Source organism: Homo sapiens, chromosome 1, assembly GCF_000001405.40.
Source record: "Homo sapiens chromosome 1, GRCh38.p14 Primary Assembly".
Taxonomy (NCBI): domain Eukaryota; kingdom Metazoa; phylum Chordata; class Mammalia; order Primates; family Hominidae; genus Homo; species Homo sapiens.
Genome location: NC_000001.11, coordinates 239513748 through 239531806, shown reverse-complemented (window position 1 = coordinate 239531806; position 18059 = coordinate 239513748). Strand labels below are relative to the sequence as shown.

Genomic DNA, 18059 nt, shown 5'->3' with positions numbered 1-18059 from the left:
GTGCCTGTGGTCCCAGCTACTCGGGAGGCTGAGACAGGAGAATTGCATGAACCCAGCAGGTGGAGGTTACAGTGAGCCAAGATCAAGCCACTGCACTCCAGCCTGGGCGACAGAGCGAGACTCTGCCTCCAAAAAAAAAAAAAAAAAAAAAAAAAAAAAAAAAAAAATCCATTCTAGAGAGATTAGTTTTTATACGACAAAGCACATAGCATACATGATTTTTGTTTACCTAGTTTATGATATCTTGAAACACTTAATTCATAACTCCTTTTTAAGTAAATGTACCAGAAAACGTTACTTTCCAACATTTTATGTGTATTGACGTGATCAAACTATAAAATTTATGCTTAATGCCGAAATACAATCATTGGTGCTCATAAAACTATTTTTAAAAGTTTCTAATTCTGATATTCTCAGGGTCTTGCATATGCTAAGTAAAATTCCTGGCCATATTTTAAGAGTTTATCTTTAGACTCTCAATTATGTTCTATTGATCTATGTATCCATCTTTATGCTAATATCACACTGCCTTGATTACTGTAGCTTTATATTAATTTCTAAAATCAGGAAGTGCATGTCCTCTAACTTGGTTCTTCTTTTTCAAAGTTTTTATTATCATTATTGTTATTATTATTATTATGGGTCATATGAATTCCCATATAAATTTTTGGGTCAGCTTGTCAATTTCTGCAAAAAAATCCTAATAACAATCTCTAATAAACATTTTAATTTTTCTATCTTGTTTTCTCTGTCTTTTATCTTTCAGCAGTTTGATCATGATGTGTTTGGACATGGATCTCTTTATGTTTCTCTGACTTGCAGTTCGTTGAGCTTCTTGAATATGTAGATTGATATGTTTCACAAAAATTGGGATGTTTTGGCCATTATTTCTGCAAATATTTGTTTTCTGCCTTTTCTGCCTTTTTCTTTTGGAACTCTCATACATTGATATGCTTGATGTTGTTTAGACCACAGTCCCTGAGGGTCTATTAATTTTTCTTTTTTTTTGTTGTTTTTCACGGATAATTGCTATTCATCAATCTTCAAGGTCACTGGGTCTTTCTTCTGCCATCTCAAGACTGCTTTTGTGCTCCTCTCTAAGTTTTCATTTTGTTATTTTACATAATTTCTGCCTCTTTACGGATATTCTCCATTTGGTGAAGGATCACGCACATACTTTATTCTTCAATCATAGTATCCTTTAGTTCTTAGGCCATACTTACTATAGCTCCACTGAAATCCACTGACGTTTGTATACCTAGTTTCATACCTGGAACCCTGCACTGACAGTTTCTATTGAATGCTTCTTTTTCATTAGTATGAGTCACACTCTGGAAGTCTCCATTTTCTTAGTATTTTTCATTATTAATTCAATTTTTACAGACACACTGCTTGGAGCAGCTTGTCTTTTAAATGTCAACATAAATTTTAATGGATCGAGCAATATAGTTAAAAATATATCATATTAGTTTCAGTTCGTTTGTTGGGATAGAAAGCTGAATTTGAGGAGCTGAGAAATATGTAGCTGACTCAATGGTGCAATTAATTAATTTGATCTATATTTGAAGAAAAGTACTAACAAAAGTAACAAAAAAAATAATTTGGGCCGGGCACGGTGGCTCACGCCTGTAATCCCAGCACTTTGGGAGGCCGAGGCGGGCAGATCACAAGGTCAGGAGATCAAGACCATCCTGGCTAACACGGTGAAACCCCATCTCTACTAAAAATACAAAAAGAAAAAATTAGCTGGGCATGGTGGCGGGCACCTGCAGTCCCAGCTACTCGGGAGGCTGAGGCAGGATAATGGCGTGAACCTGGGAGGCGGAGCTTGCAGTGAGCCGAGATCGCGCCACTGCACTCCAGCCTGGGCGACAGAGCGAGACTCTGTCTCAAAAAAAAATAATAATAATAATAATAAATTGTGGAGTTGAAGAGTTCTCGTCAAATAAAGTTTGTCTAGTAAACTTGTTTTTAATAGATGAAAAGGGTTGAGAATAGCACCTCAAGCAGGCACTGAACCTGCATAGAGTAACGTCTGAAGATAATGGCTATTAGGTTAATGCAAAGATTAATGACGAATGGACAGAGACAGAAAAATATACAATTAGCCAAGTAAAGTAATAATAACAGATAATTAACAAGGCTTTTGTTGTTGTTATTGTTGTTGTTTGTTTGTTTTTTTTTTTTTTTTTTTTTTGAGACGGAGTCTCTCTGTCACCCAGGCTAGAGTGCAGCAACACGATCTTGGCTCACTGCAACCTCCGCCTCCTGGGTTCAAGTGATTCTCTTGCCTCAGCCTCCCGAGTGGCTGGGATTACAGGCACATGCCACCATGTCCAGCTAATTTTTGTATTTTTGGTAGAGACAGGCATTCACCATGTTGGTCAGGCTGGTCTCAAACTCCTGACCTCAAGTGGTCTGCCTTGCCTCAGCCTCCCAAAGTGCTGGGATTACAGGCGTGAGCCACCATGCCCGGCCAAAAAGGCATCTTATAATGTATCAGTTATTTAGCTTTCAAAATGAAATTAATTTGAAATTGGAACTTCATATATTCCCTTTCAGATGATCACTTCAAAGCATCTGGTACTCCATAAACTTAAGACGTGCTATGGTGTGATGTATCACCTCCAAAAACAAAACAAGACTCACATGCATTTCTTTGGTAAAGATTTTTTAAATCTAATTTTTTTTCTTGAAAGGCAACCATTTCAGAACCACTCCATTAAGTACTAAATAAAAACATCTGTGGATTATGAAGGAAATGGGAGGAAACAGAGGATCTAACAGGTATAGATGGCTCCTTTAAGCCTGAATGAGAAGAATATCCACATTGTTTTCGGGGGTTATTCTGGAAAAAAATATTTTATTTAGACTGTCTCTATCCTAAATTCTTTTTTGTTGTTGTTGCTGTTTTTAGACCAACTCTCACTCTGTTGCCCAGGCTGGAGTACAGTGGTGTGATCTCGGCTCACTGCAACTTCCGCCTCCCAGGTTCAAGCGATTCTCATGCCTCAGCCTACCGAGTAGCTGGGACTACAGGCATGTGCCACCATGCCCAGCTAACTTATGTATTTTTAGTAGAGACGGGGTTTCACCATGTTGGCAGGGCTGGTATCAAACTCCTAAACTCAGGTGATCCACCTGCCTTGGCCTCCCAAAGTGCTGGGATTACAGGCATGAACCACTGAGCCCAGCCTGCCCAAATTAAATTAATGCCCTTTTATTTCCATCTCTAACCTCTGCTGCTCCAGGATCTGCAGGTTCTATTTGTAACAAAGATTACCAGGTACGCTGTTCAGTCATGCTTTGGAATGTACTGTAGTTGGATTACTGAAATTTACAGAAGAGCACCTTATTTATTGTCACCATCATGCCCTGCACTTTCAAACAGATGGTCAGCCAAGGGGCCAGTGCAGGACAGAAAGGATCCATGGAAAGCATTTATCCTCTTGTCAGAAGAGACATGTCAGCAAGATTTGCCAAGTCTCTTGCTGATCAACACTTCAGGTACTCCTTGCACAACAGCAGGAATTGGTGCTGCAGGGTACTAATAGGAAAAAATCTAAAGACTTGTCATATCTCATCACACAAAGAGGTCTGTCTATGAGCTCGCAGACATGGACTACTGTGACTTGCCATCATCTCTGCATAAGAAACTACTGATATGCAAGTGTTTTACTCCCTTTAAATGCAACCTTTCGTTTACTAAAACTTACTAAATAATGATAGTTGCTGACACTAATGCCCTTTGAGGGTCCTCATTTTAGAGATGGAGTTGTTAAGTAAGCCCACACGTTTCCATTCTGTGCTGAGAACTTTGCAAAACATGGAAAAATAAAATGCATGTCATCATGTCCACTTTCATAGAAAGCAGTTGTGAAAAGAAAAAAAAAATCAAAAGTTGTAGTACAAGGGGATGGTAATGAAATACAGTTAATAGCTTTTAAAATGCTTATTATATAACATAGATTTAAATATCTTACATTCATTATCTCTAATTCTCATAAGCCTCTGAGATAAGTTCTTTGATTATCTTTATTTTTGTAGATGAGGAAACTGAGGCTTACAGAGCTTAAACCGTTGAAAGTTATTAGCTGGTAAGTGATGAACACTGTGATCAAGGTATTTACCAAGCACCGTAAGAACACAGAGAAAAGCACAATTGACTGATGTGGGGGCTCAGAGCTTCACATAGAACTGTTTGACATTTGAACTAAATTGAAAATTATGAGTGGGAGCTCACCTTGAAGGAGAGAGCAAAAATCTCAGACCTGAGAAACAGCACATGGCAAGTCATGCAGTTGTCACAGATCCAGGAACAATCAGTTGGTCAGCAGTGCTTGAGGAAAGGTAGGTAAAAATGGCAGTGAGTGGGAACAAAGGGGATATAAATGGAGGTCAGGAATAGACTTTGTAAGGGCCTCAATTATTTTTTTTTTAAGAAATCTAGTTTTCATAAAACATGGTCAACAGCTCAGGCTCTGGGAATTAAGCAATGCTAGGTTTAAATCCTCCAGCTCTGTCATTTCTTGAACCTTGGCCAATAAACATTATTCAATCTACTGTTTCTTCATCTGAAAAACTGGGGATAAATACAGTAACTGTTTTGTAGGTTGTTAAAATTAAAGGAGACAGCATTTGTAAAAGACTTATGGCTTTCTTGTTTTTGTTGTTTTTGTTTTGTTTTTTGAGACAGGGCTGTCGCACAGGCTGGAATCCAGTGGCGTGATCATGGCTCACTATAGCTCTGACCTCCTCCCAGCTCAAGCAATCCTCCCACCTCAGCCTCCTGTATAGCTGGGACCACAGGCATGCACCACTATGCCTGGCTAATTTTTTAAATATCTTTATAGAGACAGGGTCTCCCTATATTGCTCAGACTGGCCTTAAACTTCTGGGCTCAAGAGATCCTCCTACCTAGTAGTCCCAAATGTTCAGATTACAGGGGTGAGCCACTGCACCCAGCCATGACTTATGTTATAAGGATGGAAAAAGGTTGCAATGAAAGTTAATTATTCTCGTCATTATTAATGTGGTTACTGATATGGGTGAGGCAGACATGGTTTGAAGCTGAAGGAAAATAAGATGTAAGAAAGAAAATGTCTGATAAATGAAAAAGAGCTCTTTTTCGCTAATCCAGAAATTAGTCTTATGCAATACACCATCAACATAAAGTGCATTCATTTGCACTTAATAGAAGCAAAAGAATCACAGCAGCAGTGTGCTTGCTGAGGCCAGATGTCTTCCTGGCTAAAGCTAAGGGAAGACAAACCCACACAGGGGCTTCTAGCAAATACTGACACCCAGGCCAGCATTGGTATTCACAGAGGTCAAATCCAGTAGGCGAGTGTGTCCAAGTAGCTGGTAAAAACACTGGGATGAAGTGGAATTGCTGTGTCTCTTAATTCACGTAAAAATATCAGTTGTTCATTGACAGTAAAACCTCATCAGGATTTGGATGTTCAGAAAGTAAGATTTCACTCTACAGGGAAACAGATCAGAAAAAGCATACAAGTAGGAGATGAGGTACTTATCAGGCTAATTACAGGGTAGTTTAGATCAGGAGACCTTTTTCATGGACTGTTTCAATGCAGAAAGACTGTGACAGGCAAGGACATAGGCAATGAGAGAAGATTCAGGGCCAGGGAAGGGTTTGTTTGAGGGCACTAGATGGGAGGAAGGCTGACAACACAGCTTAATTCCGATTGCCCCATATAATAAAGTTAAGCCTACTGTTTTCCTTCCAATCTCCCATCACACCCAGCTGAGACTCCATGATCAATTGAGATGAGTCATTCCCAAACCTGGATGGCTGATAGAAGCATTTGAGAAGCTTTAAAATGTACTGATGCCTGAGTTCCACTCCCAGGACTCTGATTTAACTGGAATTGGGGTGTCCTGGGCATCAGGGTTTCTTAAAGTTCTTGAATTGACAGCAACATGCAGGTGAGGTGGAGAACCACTGGGGAAGCAACAGGCTGTGGAAAGCATTTACATCTTTTGCCTACATGCCCTTGTTCCAAATAACAATAAAAAAGAAAACTGTCCTGTGGAAAAAATGCATCACTGCAAAAGCAGTTGGAGAGTTGCAAATTAAATCTATTTTTAAGCATTAAAATAAAAAAATTAAGCTGTTATATAAAATGGTGAGTGGGTGGGAGAATGTAACATGTATGCATATATTGTCAGTTCATTCATTTATTTTCTCTAAAGAACAATCTGGGAATATGTTATAATTTGTATTGTTCAACTTCTGCTGAACTTTGGGATCAGATCCTAAGTAAATAGCCTAATCTGTATATAGGGGTTCATACTATGTATGATTTACAGTTAAAATAATTTTAAAAAAAAGAAACAAAAAGAAAACCAAAATATTTAAAAATACAATAACTGATAGTCAAATCAGGATACAGCAACATGATGTCATGTGCTAGGGAAGTAAATATCACGTGGATTTTTTCTTTTTTGGGGACAGCATCTCTCTCTGTCACCAGGGCTGGAGAGCAGTGGTGGGATCACTGGCCCACTGTGGCCTCAGCCTCCTAGACTCCAGCAGTTCACCCACCTCAGCCTTTTGAGTATCTGAGAGCAAATTTTACAAATATTTGTAGAGACAGGTTTTCCCTATGTTGCCCAGGCTGGTCTCCAACTCCTGGGCTCAAGCAATCCTCCCTCCTTGGCCTCTCAAAGAGCTGAGATTACAGGTGTGAACCACTGTGCCCTGCCATGGATCATCTTAATACATGAAAATTTGTATAACAAAAATGAGGCGAAACACACGATAATATAATCCGGTTAGTACATTGTAAAGGATATTTTAACAGATTGGAATGCTTGAATTTATTCTTTTACTTTTAAAAAATTACTTTATTAATACTTTACAAAAATGAAGAATTTTTAAAAATTCTTAATTTATCCAAGTATTAAAATAGAATATAATTAGATATCTTTAAACATAAAAGATTTAAGAAAAATTCAAAGAGCCGTGGCAGGATGGAACCTTTCTTGAAAAGGTTCTGACCTAAGCCAGGCAACTGTGCAGCACGGTAAAAAAGCTGCAGCTCAAAGAATTCACTTAGCTTTTATCATTTTATTTCTTCAAACTTTTTGAGTTTGTTTAATTTTATTTTTATTGTTAAGGTAGTACATGGCTTACTCTGGTTAATATTTAAATATGAAAAAGGATCTGGTTTTCATGCTCAGGTTATAAATTCAGTTGGTAGAATTCTCTAATTCTATAGAACAATGAAACCTCTACAATACCAATTTTCTTAATTACATTTATCCAATTTTAGTTGCATATGTAGTTAACTAACCCCGAGAGCGGTCATGGCGACAAATAATTGAATGCTTTGTCCGTATTTCCAAAAAAAAAATAAACTACCACTCTGTAGAATATAGAACAATTTTGCTGGGATGATAGCTAACATATTACAAAGTGGAGAACAGGTTACCTAAATAAAATGTCAAGTTGCTGGAAAGAACAATGACAAGGAACTGTCTTCTTGAGGAGATAAAAATATATGCTGTCAGTACAATTTGTACTTATTTGGAAAACCACACAAGGCCTATTTCTCAAAAAACTAAAAAGGCAAATAACATGAGAAACTCATATGTGTGCATATATATATATATATTCTTTGAATCTGTAAAGATCTAGAATTAACAGCAGGTGAGGTTATGGGGTTTTCAAAAGTGTTACAAAGGTGGGATGCAGGTTTAGTGTTTTTGGTAGGTTTAATACTTTAAAGCTGAGAAATGTGGTATTAAATTTTACAAGACGACCATAATTCAGCATCCCTTGCCTGTCAGTTTCATCCTGTAGCTCCCACTTTCTAATGAACTTCATTTAATGTGCTGTGTGTGATTTCCCAACAGAAATATTCCATTCATTAATTTATTATTTAATTTATTCAATTTCTTGAGCTGACAACTCCTTTTCTGATTGTAACCTCTGTACTACACAAAAATGTAAACAAAAACGTTTTACTTGATGCCATCATACTGTTTTATCCCATTAATTTTGTTTGTATATCTTATCACGTCAGCTATGCTTTCGGCCCTCCTGACACGTATGTTCCAACAAACATACAATAGTTGCTTATTGTTAATTGGATGCCCCTAGGGTACACTTTTTGTTCCTGGTTCTGTTGTGAAAATGAAAATAGACTAAAATCAGAATTTCAGAATTAATATGACAACAAGAGAGGGTCATCCAATGAGAATTTTCAAGAAACAACGTAAAACATTTTTACACACTGGGGACAATGGATTCAGATTTCATTTTTATATCTTAAACCACATCTGTCACTGATTATTTCCATTCATCGGCTTTTCTGTAATTTTTAAATGTTATTTTCACTTGTAAAAAATCACTGCTGAGAAATTATTTTCCTATTGCAGCTTGCATGTAGGATAGTGGTCTGTGAACCAGTCGTCTTGTTTAGACTTAGGTTACTTAATTTATAAAATATATAAATACTAGGTATCAAGATTTTTGAGATAATTTAGTGAGGTAGAATGGTAATTTCTAACTTGACACGTTGAAAATTATCATGTCTTGTATATTGTGAGTGGTCAAAAATGACCATACATATATAAATATAATACGTATACATTCTATGTGCATGTGTATATAGCATATATTATCTACATATGTAGATACAAAAATCAGCTCGATTTTTGTCATTTTCTTCTTTTTTTCACTACTGTTTCTCAGGTGGATTAGACAGGTGGGAAGAATCCACACCACCCCACAAACAGGGGCTAAATTCTATGCTCCCCTTAGGTAGGATGCCTGATCTTAGGAGGATAAGGCTGGAGGAGATGCAGCCTGTCTCAGCAGAGTCTCCCTGGGCTCATGGTTCATAATGGACATGAGTAGTAATACTATACACTAAAGAAAGGATTTTGCCAGCTCTGAAAAGTTCAAAATTTTGCTACACCACTACATTTTCTGCGTATGACCTTTCTAGAGAGACACAAATGATGGATGAACTCTCGTACAGGAATGTTTACAAACATTAAGAGTTCTGTTTTCTTAAACCAACCCCAGCATTTGTAAGGCCACATAGTTCTTGGAAGGAGAAAGTGGACTCGAAGTCTAAACGCATCTGCCTGAACAACATCTCTACCTCCTCATTGTCAGCAGCCCAGAAAGCCCATTTCTCCACATGCACAAAAGCAGAATATGCAGAGAACATACATGTCCAACCAAAGCCAGTGTCTGCTACCTATTATTGCATATAATAATCACACCAAAAGGTGGTAGCTTAAAATAATAATAACCATTTCTTATCCTTCATGGTTTTGTTTGGACAGGACTTAGGAAGAGTTTGGCTGAGTAGGTCTCATTTAAGGTCTTTCATGCAGTTGTAGTCACATGTTGGCTAGACCCGGACGATCTACTAAGGGATTGGGTGGGACTCTGGCCCCAGCTTCCAAGAGGCTCACTCACATGGCTGGCAAGTTGGTGACGGCTGGTGGCCAACGGCCACAACTTGTCTCCATGTGACCCTCTCACTCTCCAGGGTTTCTTCAAGATCCTCATGACATGGTATCTACAACTCCCTAATTACAAGCAATTCAAGAAAGCAAGAAGGATGGCACAAAGGCTTTTGTGACATGGTTTGGAAATTGCACACCACTGTTTATGGGATGAGGAAGTTACAACAGTCTGCCTACATTCAACAGATGAGAACACACACCCATCTTTTGATAGGGGTGTTTCTTCATCACCCTGTAAGAAGAGCACTATGGCAAAAAAGAAAAGAAAAGAAAAGAAAACAATATTCAGTCATCACTCAGTATCCTTGGGGCATTGGTTCCAGGAGCCCCTTGAATGCCAACATCCTTGGATGCTCATGTCCCTTATATGAAATGTCATAGAATTTGCATATACCCTATGCATATTCTCCCATGTATCTTAAATCATCTCTAGATTACTTGTAATATCTAGTACAATGTAACGGCCATTTAAATAGTTGTCAGACTGCACTGGTTTTTGAATTTGTGCTATTATTTATTGTTGTACGTTATTTTGTTGCGGTTTTTTTTAGTATACTAAATCTGAGATTGGTTTAATCTGTGGGTATGGAAGGCTGGCTGTACCTCCCTCTCCTATGTGCACAACCCACATCCAATTATGCAATGAAATTTCATGCCTGTCTATAAAACCAGTGCATCAAGAAGTCTTTTGACAACTTAGCATAATTCACGTAGTATTGTATTTCAGCATCAGGAATCACTTGAAATATTTAGTGAAAAACAAAAAATTGCATATTTATATTCATTGTAATGATAGAAAACCAATATTATCATGTCACCACTTGAGAATTCCAGAGAATTTGTGAAGCAGAGATTTTCAGTGAATAATTCTGGAAGGAAGCTGCCTTCCAGGAGAATGAAGAAGGTCTATTGTCCTCTCGTATCCTCAAAGATTCACTGTCTTCCCAAAGTCTCTGATTTCACTGGAACCATAACTCTAAAGGTCTAAAATAGCTCCTCTTGCATGGAAATAGGGCAATATTAGCCTGGGAATGACCATCTGTCCACCACTGGAGAGCCTGAAACTGGTCTATATATTGGCAACTGCAAAGGAGCATCTTTAGCCTTTGGCTAATAGTTGAAGTCTAGGTTTGCTGCAGTAATTGGAAGTAAATATAATAGAATTCTGGATGCTGCCACAGAAATGTGGGAGGACCATAATCTAATTCATTTTAATATAAATCTGAATAATAAAATATATTCTAAAAGATTTCCTTTGTATGTCTATTTTTACACACACTGCCAATCCTGATTCCTTCAAGTTCATATTGGGTCAAACTCCATTTTTTTTTCTGTGCTCTATAATTATGTAACTCCAAAGAGAGAGGATTTTTATCAGGATATATTGGAAACCCTTCATAAGTTTGTACTAACAGTATGTTATGTATGTACAAAATGCCTTAAATTGAAGTTGCTTTTGAAAGTCAACAAATGCCTCAGCAAATACATCAAAGCTTCCCTAAAACAGGGTCAATATCAAATCTTCCTAAGGGAGCTTACTGCTGTAAGAGCTGGAAGGGTCTGGTTAGAATGCTATTTTAGTCACTGGTTTGACTTAAATTATGACACACCTGCTATACCTGTTTGTATTGGGCTGTTCCTGCATTGCAATAAAGAACTACCTGAGACTGGAAATTTACAAAGAAAAGAGGTTTAATTGGCTCATGGTTTTGCAGGATGTACAAGAAGCATAACACAGACGTCTGCTTCAGGGGAGGCCTCATGAAGCACTCAGTCATGGTGGAGGGTGAAGCCAGAGAGAAGGTGTCTCAAATGGAGGGATTGGGAGCAAGAGAGAGCAAGCGGGGTGCCACACCGTTCAACAGCCAGGTCTCATAAGAACTCACTATCACCAGGACAGCACCAAGGAGATGGTGCCAAACGATTCATGAGAAATCCGCCCCCACGATCCGATCATCTCCCACCAGGCCCCACCTCCAACTTTGAGGATTGCAATTCAACACGAGATTTAGGTGAGGACACATATTCAAACTATATCACTGTTAAATACTGGAGTACTTATGACATCAACCATTCTCATCCCCACATACTCCTGATTTCAACTTAAATGTCTGTATGTATTTCTTGGGTATAAGAATACTAATATATTATGAGGGTTAAACAAAATAATTCTTCCTCAGCAATGACTGAGTACATTTTGAGTTAAACATTTGGTATTTGGTATATGAGACAATACATTTCGAGCCTTAGGAGACAGAAAAGTGAAAGAGTAAGAACTAGTTGTTTACGCTTTGGGAGGCCGAGGCGAGCAGATCACGAGGTCAGGAGATCGAGACCATCCGGGCTAACACGGGGAAACCCCGTCTCTACTAAAAATACAAAAAATTAGCGGGGTGTGGTGGCGGGTGCCTGTGGTCCCAGCTACTAGGGAGGCTGAGGCAGGAGAATGGCGTGAACCCGGGAGGCGGAGCTTGCAGTGAGCCAAGATCGTGCCACTGCACTCTAGCCTGGGTGACTGAGCGAGACTCTGTCTCAAAAAAAAAAAAAAAAAAAAAAAAGAACTAGTTTTTAACCACGTGAAAATGGCAAGGTAAGTTGTAATGGCAAGGAAACAGAATAATTCTCTTATGGATAAAATATTTGAGAAGTCAAAAATAAATTTGATTAATATTGAATATTCTCTGTGTTAAAAATATGTCTACTAACAATTCATTTCAAGATAGATCTTCTTTTGATGATAAAAAAGAGAATACTTGTGCCTGCCTTAACCCAGTTAAAGAACTGATTAGCTTATGAATCACTAACAATTGATGTGTCAATCATAGAAAACCAGATTTCTATTATCAAATAAGAAATTACAACAAATTTTGCAAGTTAATCTTGGTATGTCTTCAAACATACAGAAGAGGCTATATTTGGTACGTCTCATAAAGGATGCTTGATTTCAACTACAATATGTAATCTTAGAATTTTAGTTTAAATTTAGAATTTTAGTTTAGTTTCCTAGAGGAGCATCTGTATAAATTTTTATTTATCTAGAAGATTGTACATAACATGCTACATTTTTATATTATTTACATTGAAGGAATTACATTCAAATTATCTCCAAATTATACCCTTAAACTAAATTTATGTAAACAGATGTCAATTTCAGTAGCTAATCCTGAGTACAGAGGAATAAAAATACACCAATTTTACTATAAATTATTAGATAGCAGTAATCCAAAAAGTCAGAAAGGTAAAGCTGAAAAAAATAGAGACTTTTACTTTGTAAATAGGTGTCTGGAAAGAGGAAGTGAAATGCTATTTTCCCTTTGATCCTGTCAACAAATGATTTGCAAAATTTAAATAAAAATGCCAACTTACACAAAAATATATGTATAAAACTTTTCGAAGGTAAATTTGTACAATGCAAATACATTAGTTCACTAGTCTGTGGACTAAGTCTTTGTATTAAATATAGACTGGGCTAAATTCAGGAGGAGAAGGGATGGGATTGGGCAGACTGCTGATGCCTTGGTAGCCTGGCCACCATGCCTCTGTCTTTCAGACAAGGAGATTTCACGTGCAACTACCGCCCACAAACTTTCCCTTAATAAATACTGATGTATAGATTTTCCTATCATGACCTGAAATTGTCTTAATTATAGTACTAGGTTAATTTCTATCAGGATATTGGCAATAGCTTCTGGCTTTTTTCTCCCAAACTGTGGAGTGTGAAAAATTTCAAGCCTATAGAAAAATTGAAGGGGTCTTAACCCAGGTTGACAAATTGTCTACCTTTGGTCATATTTGTTTTCTCCATCCCCCACTGAGAGCATCTTGTGGGATATGTCCTTGGACTTTAGTTTGAGAGACACTGAAACCAATAAATGAGCCTCCTACTTATAATATGCATACAGTTTAACTGTGAAGTTGAGAATGATTTGAGGAGAGGTGGCAGCGGGGTTAAGTGAAGGCTGGATTTCAGTTCAAACTCACATTCATTTGATTCTCTTATGAAGAGGTGAAAGGCTTCCATTACATTTACTATTCTCCTGCATATATTTAATGAGCTGATTACTTTTGCTTCTTACAGATAGTCTACAAAATGTATTTGAGTAACTTAGTCTTTCCTCGTGCTCTTTAAAAAGCAATTAAATTAAAACGTGTGGAAATGGTTTGTGGTTGTTGTTGTTGTTGTCGTTGTTTTTTCAGATGGAGTCTCACTCTGTTGCCCAGGCTGGAGTGAAGTGGAGTGATTTTGGCTCACTGCAACCTCCGCCTCCCAGGTTCAAACGATTCTTCTGCCTCAGCCTCCTGAGTAGCTGGGACTACAGGCACGTGCCACCACGTCCGGCTAATTTTTGTATTTTTAGTAGACACGGGGTTTCACCATATTTGCCAGGCTGGTCTCAAACTCCTGACCTCATGATCTGCCCACCTCAGCCTCTCAAAGTGCTGGGAAGAAACTGTCTTTATCTCATCACAGGCATTGATTATTTATTCCCGGTTCACCATACTGAATTTTAAAGTAGAATATATAAGACAAAGGCAATCAAAATCTTGCTTCCTAAAATGAGTCTTTCAAAAAATGCTCATTTCTAAAGATAAAAGTAGTGCCTGGGTGTGGGGAAAGGATTCAGATTTCAGATGTTAAAAATTTGTAACTCCATGACTCTTCTAGAATGTCTGAAAGATACTTTTGACCTGGCTACCATCAATAATGACTGGTAATTGAAAACCTCATGTATTATATATGCTTCACTAAATTCCGGATCAACTGTATTAGCCATATTACGTTGATGATAAATTCATGTTGCTAATGTGTTTATGGTCTAAATGAAAAACATAGGAATGGCAAGTGATGTAAAATAAATGGGAAAGTGAGGTTTGAGAAGTCGGGCAGCTTGAACTTTTGCTTTGTCACATATCTGCTGTGTGAATTTGGGCAAGCTGTTTAACCTCTCTGTACCTCCGCTTTCACATTTATAAATTGAGGGAAATAAATAATCCTAACCCAAGTGTCAAGGTTTGATTGGGATACTATAATCAGTGATAAGACACAGCTAGCACTTTCCAAGAACTTATTATAAGCCAAAATTTACATACATTGTCTCCTTTAATCCAGTGGCCTCCAAACTTTTGGGCACCAGGGATCGATTTCATGGAAGACAATTTTTCTATGGACCGGGCAGGAGGATGGTGGTTTCAGGATGATTCAAGTACATTACATTTATTGTGTACTTTATTTCTATTATTATTGTATTATAACATAGAAGGAAAAAATTATACAACTCATCATGGTGTAGAATCAGTGGGAGCCCTGACCCTGTTTTCCTGCAACTAGATTGTCACATCTTAGGGTGATGGGAGAGACAGTGACAGATCACCAGTCATTAGATTCACATAAGGAGTGTGCAACCTAGATCCTTTGCACGTGCAGTTCACAATAGGGTTTGTGCTTCTATGAGAATCTAATGCCACCGTTGATCTGACAGGAGGCAGAGCTCAGGCAGTAAAGCGAGCAACAGGGAGCAGCTATAAATACAGACGTTTCGCTCGCTGGACTGCCACTCACCTCCCGCTGTGCGGCCTGGTTCCTAATAGGCCATAGCAGACCAGTACCTATCTGTGGCCCAGGGTTAGGGGGCCCTGCATTAATCTTCCCAGAAGTCCTGCAAGATTCATGCACTGCTTTTCCTCATTTCAGCGTAAAGGAACTGAAGCTTCAAGAGGCTGTGAACGCCTGCTATCTCATACAGCTAGTAGAAAACAATCTGGGTTTAACCATACTCTTTGATATAAGAGTATTAAAATATTTGATATGTGAATAGGAACTCAAAAAATACCCAAAGGCAGATGAAATGTCATTAATATTTACTAAGTCTATCTCATGTGCTAAACACCTTCACATGCACTGTCTACTCTAATTCTCATAGCAGCTTTTTGCGAGTATCGTGATGCCCATTTTACAGAGAAGCGGAAGGTCAGAGCTTTAAAATGATTTTTTCAAGGTTTCAGAAACTCTTTGCAAATTTCTTAACATACAGCTCTTTTCCTTTATTTAATGTGTTTGCATAATTGCTTACGATGTTCTCCCCTCCTGGGAATAGTACCCCTCTGTTCATACTATAAATTCTTTCAAATCTTAGCTAATGAAGAAAAAAAATTACACTAGCAGGACTAGCCTACAAATGGTTGTTGCAAGTAAGCACAAAAAAAAAGCTCAGCTTTCTGGCAATCTAGATGAGAGAGAGCGAGAAAGAGACAGAGAGAGAGAAAGAGAAAGAGAAAGCAGTCATTAGTTATCTAAGCTCTTGATAGTAAAAGATAGATTACCAGGGGTATAATATCCTACAATCCCATTCAACAACGAAGCCAGAAGTCAGCAGAGTCTTAATTTCATAGCTCATGCTCCTAAGAAGTTCAGAGACTTTTTACTGAGCTTTTGTCTTAATAAACATAAAATATAGTACATTTTAGGCATCTAACTTTTAACTAAGGGTAGTTTATTTTTATCTATTGTGAAGTAAATAAATCACAATCATTTGGTATCATTTTGGCCAAATGATGGCAGAGTTTGGCATACTCCATCACATTTTATTCATTTAAGATGCAAATTTCTGCCTGCTGAAAAACAGGATGCAAGGAGTTAAATGCATTGTCACTTCTCATTTCTCACAATAATTGTTTGTGTGGAATGCATTTGAAGCCATGTGGCAAGCTTTTGGAAAAATAAATAAGTTAAAGTCCTCAGAAATAATTCCCTCTTTGTTTATGGCAGAAAAATTAGTTTGCAACAGACACAGCTCTTCTTGAAGTATAAATATTGTGAAATTCTCTAAGGTTAGATAATATATATTCCCCTAACAGTGTCCTTACCCCAGAATTAAAAAAAAAAAAAACAAAAAAAACATGTGAACAATTGCAATTTACCCTAGATGCCTTATTAAGGTTACACAGATATGAGATATTTTCTGGTTGACTAATATAATTTTTAAAATTTACGTAATGCTTTTTTTAAGGTAAATATAACATTTATAAGCCACATGCAGTCCCCATGCATTTTTAGACAAAAATTTTATTTTATTAGGCATTTTTAAGAACTTTAGATTTGAATATTCAGTTTATTTCTAGAGAAATATATATACTAACCAAACAGGCCACATGTTAAATATTAAAAATATGATCTGTGAGAAAACATATTGAGAGAAAAAAATCAGAATATTTTGATGTACAATTTAGCACTCTACTTATATTTCTGTTATTTCTACAAAAATATACGACATATGTGCTGACAAAAATGTGTGAGTTATCAAATATTCAATGGGCTAATTTCATCTTCATTTATGGAAGTGACATTTGGGTATAGAGAGGATTACATGATGCATTGAGAGAGTCCTTCAAATTTCAAAATTTTACTTCTACCATGGTATCATTCCAAATAAAGTATCTCTTGTCTGCAAGTTTTCTCCTAGATCAAGTTCGGCAGCCAGGAGTCAGAATGAGAGGACTGAGATAAGGGAGGCATGTAAAACACACTTAAATTATCTACCTGGAAACTCCACAAACCCAGTAAACTTGAAAAAGAAGCTTGATGACAAATTTCTTCACCACTAAGTTCAGAAACAAGACAAGGATTTACCCTCCTACTACTCTTTTTCAACATGGTACTGGAAACCCTCATTAATGCAGGTAGACAAAAAGTGAAATAAAAGGCATACAGATTGATAAGCGAGAAATAAAACTTAATTTTTGTGTAGATGGCATGACTTTCTATGTAGAAAATCCAGTAGAATCAACACAAAACTTCTGGAATTTTAGCAAGGTTTCAGGATATAAGATTAATATATAAAAGTCAGTTGCTTACCTATAAACCAGCAATGAACAAGGAAAAATTAAAATTTAAAACACAATACCATTTATATTAGCACTCTACAAAATGACAGACTTAGAAATAAGACTTAAAAAAATGTACGAGATCTACACAAGGGTAACTTCAAAACTCCAATGAAAGAAATCAAAGAACTATAAATGGAGAGACATTCCATGGTCCTAGATAGGAAGACTCAATATTGTGAAGATGTCAGTTCTTCTCAACTTGGTCTATTGATTCAATGCAATGCCAATCAGAATCCCAGCAAGATATTTTATAATACTGGCAAACTTGATTCTATAATTTATACAGAGAGGCAAAAGACCCAGAATAGCCGACTGGATGTTGAAGAAGAACAAACCTGGAGGACTGGCATTACCCAACTTCAAAGCTTACTGTAAAACTACTCTAATCAAGACAGAGCGGTGTTGGTGAAAAACTAGATAAATTGATCAAAAGAACAGAAAAAAGAGCCCTAAAAGAAGCACTGAATAACTAAGTATAGCAACTGATCTTTGACAAAGGAACAAATGCAATACTATGGAACAAAGATATCGCTTCAACAAATGGTGCTGGGACAACCAGACATCCACATGCAAAAAAGAAAAAAAAATCTAGACACAGATCTTAAAACATTTATAAAATTTTATCCAAAATGGATCATAGATCTAACTATAAAATATAAAACTATGTA

General features: G+C 37.2%; 1 protein-coding gene across 28 annotated transcripts in view; it reads right to left on the bottom strand.

The window, feature by feature from the left end:
• The window catches only part of CHRM3 (cholinergic receptor muscarinic 3), a 528883-nt gene that overhangs the window by 383644 nt on the left and 127180 nt on the right, over nt 1-18059 (bottom strand). Inside the window, exon 1 of one of the 28 annotated variants that reach the window (XM_017000154.2) lies at nt 4244-17968. The exons of the other annotated variants lie outside the window; for them this stretch is intronic. The gene's annotated coding sequence lies outside the window, so the exon portion shown is untranslated. Of the gene's footprint in view, nt 1-4243; nt 17969-18059 lie in introns of those variants that run through there. 28 annotated transcript variants of the gene reach the window in all.